Consider the following 14136-nt stretch of genomic DNA (forward strand, 5'->3'; position numbering starts at 1 on the left):
ATGCAAACAACAAGTCATACGTGTTATTTTTAAAGACAAGACATTAAATATAAGCAGCTAAATATATGGAAGGCTCAAAAATCTTAACTGACTTTGTCTCAGTGGGTTGATAAATTCCACTGTTTAGCAAGAAGCAAGGCAGTCAAGGCCTTTCACAATTTGGCACAAATCTCTAGTTTCATCTCCTGCCACTTCCTGATAACCTTACCATGCTCTAATTATATCACTTACCATTCCCAAATGCCACTGCCATACTTCAGCACCCATTATTTCCACTTGAAATCTCAAACATGCTGATAAAAATATTATTCATCAAGACCTAACTCACATTTTGCCACCTCTGAGAGACCATCTGACTCCCTTTAATCAAATTAATTGTGCCATCTACTGTGGTCCACAGTATTCCACTCAAAACTGAATTTTAGTTATTCAACATGCTCTCCAGCCACCTGGCATTCTCAGATTTAACTAAGACTATACTAAATCAATAATGCAAAGGCCTATAATGTGTAGTAACATAATTTCATTAATGTGTAAATATTTTGGACAATTTTCTAATATTAATTAAACCTTGCATTTCTAGAATAAGTCAAATTTGGTCATGTTATCTGTTTTATACATTGCTGGATTTTGGGGTTGTTTTGCTAGGTTCCTAAGTGAGACTAGCTTTTAAGTTTCATTCTTACTCTCCTTGCTAGTTTTTTTAACAAGATTGTAGTACATAAGACTCAGAAAATGAAAAGAGAATTGCTACTTTTCCCCCCCGTTTTTTGAAAAAGCTTATGTAACCCTGGAATTAGCATCTGTCCAAACTCAGGTGAGTATTGAGGGAAGGAAAACTTTTAACTAATAAACCAACATTTTTAATGGCCATAGGGCCATTCAGATTTTCTATTTCTTTTTGAATGTTTTGGTCCCATACTTTTCTCATAACTGATTATTTTACATATAAGTTTATTTAAATATGATTAAAATTTATAACATTTTCTAATTTGCATTAGCATTATCTTCATCCCTTTTTTGTTGTTTTTCTTGACCAATCTTACCAGAATTTAATTAATTTAATATAGTATTTAAGGCTATAATTTCCCTCTTAATACAACTTTAGCTGCAACCACAAGTTTTGATAAGTATTGTTTGTAGAACTATCATTCGATCCAGCAATCCCATTATTGGATATATACCCAGAGGAATATAAATCATCCTACCATAAAGATATGCAGGTGAATGTTCATTGCAGCACTATTCACAATAGCAAAGACATGGAATCAACCTAAATGCCCACCAGTGATGGACTGGACAAAGAAAATACATATACACCATGGTATATGTACACTATGGAATACTAAGCAGCCATAAAAAAAGAACACGATCATACATTTTGCGGGAACATGGATGGTGCTAGAGGTCATTATCCTTAGCAAGCTAATGCTGGAAAACCAAATATCACATGTACTCACTTATACGTGGGAGCTAAATGATGTGAACTTATGAACACAAAGAAGGAAACAACAGACACTGGGGTCTACTTGAAGGTGGAGGGTGGGAGAAGAGAGAGGGGCATAAAAGATAACTGTTGAGTACTAGGCTTAATACCTGGGTAATGAAATAATCTGCACAATCAACCCCTCTGACACTACTTTACCTATGTAACAAAGCTTCACATGTACCCCCAAACCTAAAAATTAAAAAAAAAAAAAGATCTTACAGTTCAAAAATACATGCATATTTTTGCTTTCAGTATTTACTTGTATATGACACCTTGACAAGAACTGTTTTGAAGGAGTGACAGGGATAGAAATTTTACTGGCACAGGTTTAAGAGAGAATGAAAAGAGTGGAACTGGAGAAAATAAGTATAGACGAATGCTTTCAAAGAGTTTGATTCTAAAGTGGTGCAGATAAAAGAGGCACTAACTTGAGTGGGATGCAGCCAATGAACTTTTCACACTCACTCTCTCCTAGGTACAACTAAAATCCCTGAACATTATATAGAAAATAAACACAAGACCCTGAAAGGTGGAAACCTGAGGAACTACATGGTGGTGAGTTATCTGGGTTTCTTTTTGCCTAATATATTCCAAACTTGGAGCTGAAGAAGCTAGTAACCAGCAACACCAATGGGGGCAGACAAAAAGCCCCAATAAAACCCTGCCTTTTCTCTAGCCAAAAGACAAAGAAAGGAGGAGCCTCACAAAACAGAAAACTCTTAGAAAACAAACACTCTACTCCAGTTAAAAACCACTGAAAAAACTATGGCCCAACTCCCACCAATGCCAGCAAAGACTGAATGGGGACCTAAAATGTCCACCCTTACCAGGATATAATAAAGCCTCTCTCTCAACTCCTACAATGCTGGTGGAAATCGAAACCACACAGGTAACATGAACTTCTGCTCTTGCCAGGTAGTAACAAGCAGCCAATCCTCTTCTGCCCTAGGTTGATATAGAGGAGGCCTAGTGAAGGGTCAGGGCTTTCACCATCACCCAGTGGTAACAAGGCACTCCTATCCCTTTCAGACAAGAAAGCATCAGTAAAAGCGTAGTGGGAACCCAGAACTCTCATCCCTGCCCAGCAGTCACAAGGGATATCCTTCCTTAGATGTTAATGAATGCAGAGTAGAAAATTCAATTTCTACCTGTACCTGGCAGTAATAAGGTGGCAGCCCTGATTTCTCTTGCCAGAATAGCATTAGAGTAAGCTAGCTAAAACTGAAGCTTTAAATACGATCCAGAGATCCAGAGTTTCATAATATACTACCCAAAATATCCAGGTTTCAATTTAAAAAATCACTTGTCAAACCAAGATCTCAAATGGAATGCAAAAACACAATCAATACTTGCAACCACCAAAATGACAGAGATGTTCAGAATTATCTGACACATTTTAAATTAGCTATCACACAAATGCTTCAACAAGTAATTAAAAACGTAATAGAAAAATGAAAAAATATAAAGTCTCAGCAAAAAAAAAAAAGTCCAAGGACAAAGAAATATAAGATACAAAAAAAGAACCAAATGGAAATTTTTGAACTGTAAAATACAAGGTAGCCTTAAGCCCTAATATATCCATAATTACATGACAGTGAGTAGTCTAAATACACCAATAAGACAGAGTGGATTAAAAAAAGCATGACCCAAACATATGCTGTCTAGAAGAAACTTTAACTTCAAATAGTATAGGCAGGTTGAAAGTGAAACAATGGAAAATAATATCTCACAGAAATATTAAAAGAAAGCAGGAAGTGGCTTTCTACATTAGATGATATTAAAATAGAGCAACTTCAGAGCAAAGAAAATGATCAGAACAGAGAGGATAATCATATTATAATAAAAGGGTCAATCCATCAGAAAGACATAGCAATCCTAAACAATTCTAAGCAATCCTATACACGTTAAACAATAGAGCTGCAAAATGTGTGAAGTAAAAACTAAATGTGTGAAGTAGCACTGAAAAGAGAAATAAATTCATAATTATAGTTGGATATTTCACCACCCCTTTTCCAGCAATTGATAGAAACACTAGATAGAATTCAACGAACACAGAGAATTTAACATCATCAACCAACAGGATCTAGCTGAACTTAGTAGACTACTCCATTCGAAGACAACAGAATACACATTCTTTTCAAGTGCCCACAAAACATAAAACAAGACAGACCAATCCGGAGACATAAACCCCTTAACAGAGTAAAAATAACTGAAATAAAAAAGAATGTGTTCTCTGACAACAATGGAATCAAACTAGAAATCAATAACAGAAAGTTAATGGCAAAATCTCCAAACACTTGGAAACTAAACAGCAAACACCTAAATAATCTATGGGAGAGTTAAGTCTCAAGGGAAAACAGAAAATACATTAAACTAAATGAAAATACAACATATCAAAATGTTGACATACAAATAAAGCAGTACTGAGAAGGAAATTTATAGTGCTAAATACACACATTAGAAAAAAGAAAAAGCCTTAATCAACAATCTAAGCTTGTACCTCTAGAACCCAGAAAAAGAAAGGCAAAATAAACAAACCAAACAGGACAAAGTAAATAAGAGCAGAAACTGCTGAAATTGAAAACAGAAAAATCAATGCAACAAAGCACATTGAAAAGATCAATAAAATTGACAATTCTCTAACAAGACTGACAAAAAAGAGAGAAGACAAAAATTACCCATATCAGGAATGAAATGGGGTATTATTACAGACCCACAGCTATCAAAAGCATAGTAAGGGATACACAATGAACATATACAATGTATGATAGTAAGGGATCACAATGAACAACTCTCTACACACACAAATTTTTCTACACATATAAAGATTTTTATACAGGTATAATCTATATATAATTTTATATACTCTATATCTATATGATCTATAATCTATATATAGATATTTTATATCTATTGATTTATATAGATATAATCTATATCTATGTAAATATTTTATATAGAGATTTTACACAGATTTTTACATAGATATAAAAATTCTACATATGTAACAATTTTTCTACATCAAAACTTGGATGAAATGGACCAATAAGTTCCTTGAAAAACACAAACTACCACAACACATACAATATACAGTAGTCTGAGTAGACCTGTTATTATTAACGAAATTGAACTCAAAATTTTTAAACTTTCAAAAAAGAAACTCCAGGAACAGATGGTTTCACTACAGAATTATACCAAACCTTTAAAGACTTATTCCACATCTCTCTCAAAACATAAAAGATTAAGAAAATTTAAAATATTTAAAAAAAGAAAAATTTATTTAATAAAGCCAGTATTACTTGATACCAAAACCAGGCAAATACAAAAAAAAGCCACATAATTTTATCATTTAATACAGAAAAAGCACTTTAAAAATTTAACATCCATTCATGATAAAACTCAGAAAAAAAAAAATAGAGGGGAGTGTCCTCAACTTCGTAGAGCATAAATAAGTAACTTACAGGTAACATAACAGTGAAAGCCAACGTTTTCTCTCTAAGATGGGGAACAAGGAAAAGATGCCTACTCTTTCCACTCTTATCGACATAGTGGTAGAAGTTCTAGCTCATGTAATAAGTCAAAAAAAAGAAATAGGAGAGGATGTGGAGAAATAGGAATGATTTTACACTGTTGGTGGGACTGTAAACTAGTTCAACCATTGTGGAAGACAGTGTGGTGATTCCTCAAGGATCTAGAACTAGATCTAGATCTAGATCTAGATCTAGAACTAGAACTAGAAATACCATTTGACCCAGCCATCCCATTACTGGGCATATACCCAAAGGATTATAAATCATGCTGCTATAAAGACATATGCACACGTATGTTTACTGTGGCACTATTCACAATAGTAAAGACTTGGAACCATCCCAAATGTCCATCAATGATAGACTGGATTAAGAAAATGTGGCACATACACACCATGGAATACTATCCAGCCATAAAAAAGGATGAGTTCATGTCCTTTGTAGGGACAGGGATGAAGCTAGAAACCATCATTCTGAGCAAACTATCACAGGACAGAAAACCAAACACTGCATGTTCTCACTCATAGGTGGGAACTGAACAATGAGAACACTTGGACACAGGGTGGGGAACATCACACACCGGGGCCTGTCGGGGGGTGGGGGGAGGGGGGAGGGATAGCATTAGGAGATATACCTAACATAAACGACGAGCTAACGGGTGCAGCACCAACATGGCACATGTATACATATGTAACAAACCTGCACGTTGTGCACATGTACCCTAGAACTTGAAGTATAATAATAAAAGAAATAAAAGATATATAGATCAGAAAAGAGAAATAAACTGTCCCTATTTCTAGATGACATGACTATGTAGAAAATCCAAGGTCTATACAGAAAACATCTTAGAACGAACAGGTGAGTTCAGCAAGGTCACAGGATACAAGATAAACATATAAAAATCAATTGTATTTCTATATATTAGTAATGAACATGTGGACACTAAAATGTAAAATACCATTTACAACAGGTTGAAGTAAAAATAAAATACTTAGGTGTAATTCTAACAAAAGATGTACAGGACGTATATGCCGAAAACTACACAAAACTGATGAAAAAAATCAAATACCTAAAAAAATGAAGAGACATTACTATCTTCCAGTATTCAAAGCAAGACTGACAAAAAAAGAGAGAAGACAAAAATTACCAATATCAGGAATATTAAGAGTATTCAAAGACTCAAAACAGTAAAAATGTCAATTCTCCCCAAATTTATATGCTATTTAACCAAAATCTCAGCAAGATATTTTTGTAAAGAAAAGACTATTCTAAAATTTATATGGAAAAGCAAATACACTAGAATACCTAAAACAATTTTGAAACAGGATGCATAAGTCTACCTGATTTCAAGTCTTAGTATTTAGCCACAGTAATCCAGACTGTGTGGTACTGGCAGAAGGTTAAGACACATCAGTGGAACAGAGAACCCAGAAATAAATGTACACAAATATGTCCAACATTTACATAGCTTTTACAGAAATTAATTCAAAATGCACCACTGACTTACATGTAAAATTTAATAATGGAAGGCTTCTAGAAAAATACATGAGAAAATTCTCATGATATAAGGCTAGGCAAATAATTCTTAGACTTGACATCAAAAGTACAATCAAAAGTACATCAAAACTGAGGCGGGGGCTCATGTCTGTAATCCCAACATTTTTGGAGGCTCAGGCGGGCAGATCACTTGAGGTCAGGATTTTGAGACCAGCCTGGCCAACATGGTGAAATCCTGTCACTACTAAAAAATAGAAAAATTAGCCAGGTATGGTGGCACATGCATGTGTGGCTACTCGGGGGGCTGATGTGGGAGGATCGCTTGAACCCAGGAGGTGAAGGTTGAAGTCAGCCAAGATCGCAGCACAGGTTGCAGTGCAAACTGTGAGTGAGACAACTCACTGGAGTGCAACAGAGTGAGATTCTCAAAAAAAAGTACACTCCATAAAAGGAAAAACTAATAAACTGGACATCATCAAAAACTTTTGCTCTGCAAAAGACCTTGTTACAGGAATGAAAGAAGTTATAGAATGTAAGAAAATGTTTGCAAAACACACATTCAACAAAAGACTAGTATCAGCAAACTCTGAAAATTCAACAGTAAAAAAATTTATCTTCCATGTTCGTTAGCATCTCTTTCACATTCCCCTTCTGCCTCTCTGCACTAATCTCCTTAGATATCGTAGATCACTGATCCTTACAAGTCAACTACATTATCTTCTTTCTATCTCATCTGCTGAGTGTTTGTTTGTTTGTTTGTTTTGAGATTGAGTCTCGCTCTGTCCCCAGGCTGGAGTGCAGTGGTGCAATCTCAGGTCACAACCTCCACCTCCCCGGTTCAAGCGATTCTCCTGCCTTAGCCTCCCTAGTAGCTGGGACTATGGGCGTGCACCACCACATCCAGCTAATTTTTGTATTTTTAGTAGAGACAGGGTTTCACCATGTTGGCCAGGATGGTCTCAATCTCCTGACCTCGTGATTGGCCCATCTCAGCCTCCCAAAGTGCTGGGATTACAGGCGTGAGCCACCATGCCCAGGAGTTTTTAATCTGCTGTTTTTCACTTTCAGAAATTTAATTATTCGGAGTCTGATATCTGAGACCATTCTCTTTTCTGTAACCACAGAGTTGTCTTATGCGGAAATTGTGATAATTCATAAATTAATCTTAAAGGGTCTGATTCTCAAGTTCATTTTTTAAGATTGATTTCTCAATGTTTAGTGATTTCTGATTATAAACTAGTGATCACGGAACCTTTTTCTGCAAAAATTGAGGTTTGTGTAAAATTTCTCTATGGAAGAACTGCTTCCATTACAAACAGGGGAGTCTTATTCTAAAACACATTTTTGGCTTGGGTCAGATAGTGAATTCCAGCCCCAAATCTGCAAGACAGAAGATGGAGGACGAGGAATTCTCTCAGGTAGAAGCCCTTTACCTCTAATTGTGTGTAAAACCAGGCCCAGGTTATCAAATTTCCACTTATTGCATAAGTTTGTCATCAATGTTTTTAATCTGATTCCCATCCTATTAAGGTCTTGCTTGAAATGTGTCCTCTGTTCTCAACATGCATGACATGTCAACAACCAGACCCTAGGTGACTAGGAATAGGTAGGTTTCTTCAGGGTAAATGTCAGCTCCATAGATCTCTATGTAATCACCATCACTCATCATTTCTGGCCTCTGATTATTTTCCTTACAGGCAAGTCCAAGTGTACTTTTAAAAAGTTTTTTTTTTTTGAGATGGAGTCTCACTCTGTCGCCCAGGCTGGAGTGCAGAGGTGCAATCTCAGCTCACTGCAACCTACGCCTCCGGGGTTCAAGTGATTCTTCTGCCTCACCCTCCCGAGTAGCTGGGACTATAGGCGCATGCCACCATGCCCAGCTAATTTTTGTATTTTTAGTAGAGACGGGGTTTCACCAAGTCAGCAAGGCTAGTCTCAAACTCTTGACCTCATGATCTGCCCGCCTCAAACCCCAAAGTGCTGGGATTACAGGCGTGAGCCACCGGGCCTGGCCAAGATGTTTTTATATGTTATCCAGCATTTAAGCGTTTTACATGAGAAATGGTTTCTCCACACATTTAGTAGCCATATTGCCAGAAATGGAAATCAAAATTTGGATAAGTTAACCAGAATTCCTTATATATGAATGAATGCACAATATGCTTGATGAGGAAACAAGAAAAATTTATTCTTACTTATTAGAAATTCATTACCTACTATTTCACTAAGTGGTTTCTGTTAGTGCAAAAATTATTCATTATGTGAAAAATAATGCTTTAATGAAAGTTGACTTCTACCATGGGGATATGCAAAGCAAATTTCTCAGATTACATGCCACTATAATGTTTGAAAATATGGAGATGAAGTCTTCATAATGTGAGTCACATCTTTCATACAAAATCTCACACAGAATCTTAACAGGCTTGAGACTTAAGTGTTAAGGGGGCAAAGAAGATAAAGGATGCCTCCTGACATTCAAAGTTCTTTCTTTCCTTACCATCAGATTTAAAAAATCACTGTCATAGCATAACACAGGACCTGACATATAGCACTCCAAAAATATTTGTTAAATAAAAGTGTGACCACCAAAAATAAACCACAGGGTAGGTGATATATTTATTTAATTATATAATGTTTCAAAATTCCTATCTGGGAGAAACTTAGTGGTAAATGGTAGATCAAACAAAATCACAAAGCACATAGTGACTGAGAAGTCACTAAGGAGATAAGAATCCAAGATATTATAATATTTTCCAAATATTTTACATTTCATGGGTACACAAAGTTACTATCTTACTTATGTAATTTCAATAAGCTTAAGAAATAAAGTGAAGGGAAGAACAAATTTTCAAGTCAAACAGATTGGTTAAAATTCTAGCTTCTCTATTTCTGGTCATGTGGCTTTCAGCAAGTTACTAAACCGTTTTCAGCCTGTTTCCTCATTTTTAAAACGACGATAATAATTTAATAGGACAACTATATGGCAAGTTACTTAACCTTTTTCAGCCTCAGTTATCTGATTTTTAAAATGGTAACAATAATAATTTCATAGGACAACCATAAAGATTAAATGAGAATCCATGTGTTAAATGCTTAGCACAGTCCTTGATATGCTTCTTTTGAGGCAAATGGATTAAAAATCACCTACACTACACACCTTGGTAGAAACTACGTCATACCATTCCTAATGGTCTACTGTAAATCTTGAGCAGAGAAAGAATCCAACAGACTTTTTTGTAGTAAAAAAAGAATAGGCCAGCACGGTGGCTCACGCCTGTAATCCCAGTACTTTGGAAGGTCGAGGCGGGTGGATCACGAGGTCAGGAGATCAAGACCATCCCGGCTAACATGGTGAAACCCCGTCTCTACTAAAAATACAAAAAAAATTAGCTGGGTGTGGTGGCGGGTGCCTGTAGTCCCAGCTACTCAGGAGTCTGAAGCAGGGGAATGGCGTGAACCCGGGAGGCGGAGCTTGCAGTGAGCCGAGATCGCGCCACTGCACTCCAGCCTGGGAGACTGAGCAAGACGCCGTCTCAAATAAAAAAAAAAGAATAAGAGCACAAACCTCCATATTTATTAACAGTATCATGAAGACTGTGAACACATCTGGCAAAACCAACATACCGAAGCAGTTACTAACAGCAATACAATTTTTATATCGAATCTAGCTCCAAAATACTAACATCAATACCTCAGAAATTGGGAAGTTTAGAAAAAAGAATATTTCCTCCGAAATAAAAAGAAATGCATACTTAACTAGCGTACTATGGAAAGCAAGAGATAGTTTTCCAAATAACAACCAAATAAAACCACACAGATTTGAGGGAACACTGGCACAATACAATACACCATTCTCCAAGGCCACTGTAGTTAGAAAGAGAAGAAATGGGTATTAATTTCAACGTTAGGACTCGGAAATTAATTTCCTGGTATTGCTAAGCAACTGATTACAAAGGGAGGCTTTTGAACTTGTGTTTCATTAAAGACCTTTAAAGTGAGAAGAAAGTTTCATGCATGTATTAGATGTAAGTGAGGCTCTCTTCCTAATCCATAAGTCCCAGTGACTGTGCTGTGACACATTGATGTGTAACACGAAGAATTGTGTCACAAAGTTCTGGATTTAGAACTTCCTCTAAATAAGCTTTCTCAACCAGAACAATACCATCTACTTCTAGGGGTATTTGAAAATGTGCAGAGGGGCATTTTGAAATTGTCATAATGACCTTAAGAGAGAACAGAGGGAAAGGATGCTAATGGCAATTAGTAGTTGGGCCCCAAATGCTAAATGAATGACAGTCACATCACACACGATGGCATTTCATTTACTCTCCTCTTCCACCCCCACCAAAAAAAAAAATCATATAAATGTTCCCTATTCCCCTCTCGCTAAGACGGTCAAGCCATGCCATTCCTTTTACACTTCAAAGTCCGGGGCTCAATAGAGACTAGATTTACAAACTGCAACCTACCGGCAGGCAGCTTAATTACTATCACTGTTGTCAGATGCTCTTGTCTTGTCCTTTTCATTATCATAATCAAGTACGGTCCTCTTCAAAGGTCTATATTCAGTTTTCTCCACTGGTATAGTATTTCACCCTTGCTCCAACACCAGACTTTCAGCTAGCAGATATGAGAAAAGACCTCCACTCTAGTACACTATGCCAGAACAAAAACTCGCCAAGTATCCTTGAAACCTCGTATCTATAGACGAAGGAAGAGAAATTCCATAACCTCCTGAGAGCACATCAAATTTTTGTGTCTAGCAGTACATGTGCCTCTTAATGGGAACGAGGTCCATAGTTCTCATAAGACTCTCAAAAGAGACTGTGACTTTAAAATATTAAAAACAATTGCTCATTGAAAATTATCCCCCAAATCTTTTAAAATTCCTGTGCTTTAAAATCTCTGATGGTTTCCCAATATCTGTAACATAGATTTAAACTCTCTCAACGTATTAGCTAAAGCACTCTACAGTGAAGCCATCACTCAAAATATTAGAATTCAAAACCTATCCTGGCAATTTTTTTATGTACTTTACAATTTTAAGAAATCAAACTACTTCCTTCAAACATATGCTTTCCTTCCTCAAGGTCCTGCTCACAATTTCCCTCTTCTGAAACATTTTCCTGTATCCTCAACAAACAAAATCCTAATCATTCTTCATGTTCTAGTTCACAGGCCACACCTACATTTACCTACCTACTCAGCTGAAATTAACCTTACTCATCTGTGCTTTCATAGTATCTTGTATTTCCACTCTAGCACATGTCACGTTCTCCTTGGTTTATGGTTACAGCAAGGTGCCCAATGTCTGGGCTGAGCATAATTACCAGCCTGTGGCCTGTTAGAAACCAGGCTGTATAGCAGGAGGCAAGCGGCAGGCGAGTGAGCCAGCATATCCACCTCCTGTCAGAACAGCAGCGGCATTCGATTCTCACAGGAATGCGAACCCTATTGTGAACTGTGCGTGCGAGGGATCTAGGTTGCATGCGCCTTATGAGAATCTAATGCCTGATAATCTGAGGTGGAACAGTTTCATCCCAAAGCCATCCTTCCCTTCTCCCCAGCCCCATCCATGGTAAAACTGTCTTCTACGAAACTGATCCCTGGTGCCAAAAAGGTTGGCTGGGTTACAGTATTGTAATGTTTTCCCTGACCTAGTAGAATATGACTAAAGGACAAAAGCTGCATCTTATTCCTCGCTGTGATCACCAGTAAGTGATACTGTGCCTTACATAATATAGGTGTCTAATATAAATATCTACAAAATTAAATTAAAATTAATACTGGGCAAAGTGGCTTACGCCTGTAATTGCAACACTTTGGGAGGCCAAGGCTAGAGGATCACTTGAGCCCAGGAGTTTGAGACCAACCTGGGCAACATAGTGAGACAAGCTGGAGCATCACTTGAGCCCAGGAGTTTGAGACCAGCCTGGACAACATAGTGAGACCCTGTCTCTCAAAAAAAAAATAGCCAGGTGTGGTGGCATGTGCCTGTGGTCCCAATTACTTGAGAGGCTGAAGTGGGAGGATTACTTGAGCCCAGGAGATTAGGTTGCAGTGAGCCATGATTGTGTCACTGCTCTCCAGTCTGGGTAACAGAGCCAGACCCTGTCTCAAAAAAAAAAAAAAAAATTAACACCTTAGATTTGCAAGGAAATTTGGCTATTATTAAACAAAGATGAAAACTACATGGAAGAATAGATGTGAAAAGCATATGGCAATTTCATCCCCTGAAACTTACAAAATGGCTAGTCTAGGCCAGTTATATCCAGTTCATATACCCACAAATTCTTTCACACAAAAAGGAAAGCCAATTCAGTTATAGAAAGCCTATATGAATAGAAAACAAACGAATGTTAACAAAGTAGTCTGCAAACTATAAAGCATTACACAATATAGATGACTAATCATGATTATTACAGTCTACTATCCTTTAACACAGTGTATGTTTTAAACTACCAGACTGTTTCTATTTTTTAACAGACCAACATAGTTATAAAGAGTTTTATGGGTTAAAATTAATTAATTGAAACAACTCATGACTATATTAAGATGATTTAAGAGATCATTAGATGCCCAGGTGAAATCACAAAAGTATGAAAAATATCAGAGAGAACTGATAATAAAGTTTTATATTTTAAGATTATGTTTATTATATAGAACACAAAGTATACTAAGCAACAAATAATTTCTAAAGACACAGATTTTTTGTCTTCCTTGGTTTAAATTTCAAACTGTTTTATTCATAGCAAGTTTTTAATAAGAAAATTCAAGGAGTAATAAGACTTGGCCAATTGAAGAAAAACACTTTGTATTTCACATGGTAACCCAGATCATGAGGGAAAAAAATCAACGATTTTCCAGGTCAAGAATGCTCACTTCAAGCATTCCTCAGTAGCTTCAAGGCTCTACAGTATATTATTCTGGGCAAATGGGAAAGGAATAATAAATCAGTGAAAGAGAAACTTCTGGGACAAATTTAAGTGCTGAATAATTGCTTTTATTTTGTATACCCTGTGACCTTCCTACAGGAAAGGTGTGCTAATAAAAACCGTGCTTGGCCGGGCGCTGTGGCTCACACCTGCAATCCCAGGACTTTGGGAGGTCGAGGCAGGTGGATCACAAGGTCAGGAGATTGAGACCATCCTGGCTAACATGGTGAATGAAACCCTGTCTCTACTTAAAATACACAAAATTAGCCGGGCGTGGAGGCACACGCCCGTAGTCCCAGCTCGGGAGGCTGAGGCAGGAGAATCGCTTGAACCCAGGAGGCGGAGGTTGCAGTGAGCCAAGATCGCGCCACTGTACTGTAGCCTGGCGACAAAGCAAGACTCCGTCTAAAAAAAAAAAAAAACATGCTCATGGGCTAGTCAGTTTCTATTCTTGTACGCAAGACCATATGATGTTGATTATTCAGAAGTATATATTAGAAATGCTTTGTGCTTACACATTTTTGTTATAAAGACTTTTTATATTGTATCAACTTATGCAAAAACATAAATAAGAAACTTTTAGATTTAAAAATATACAGCCACTTGTTAGCTGAGATACTTCAAAAAGCAGTATTTAAAGAGGAGGAGGAGGAGTCCAAAATGCACTTATAATGACAAATGTCTTACA

The 14136-nt window shown here is 36.8% G+C and overlaps 1 protein-coding gene across 4 annotated transcripts in view; it reads right to left on the reverse strand.

Moving 5' to 3' along the window:
* DCUN1D5 (defective in cullin neddylation 1 domain containing 5) overlaps positions 1-14136 on the reverse strand; it is a 41475-nt gene that overhangs the window by 16466 nt on the left and 10873 nt on the right. The window lies entirely within an intron of this gene.

The sequence above is a fragment of the Homo sapiens genome, chromosome 11, assembly GCF_000001405.40.
Source record: "Homo sapiens chromosome 11, GRCh38.p14 Primary Assembly".
In the NCBI taxonomy this organism is placed as follows: domain Eukaryota; kingdom Metazoa; phylum Chordata; class Mammalia; order Primates; family Hominidae; genus Homo; species Homo sapiens.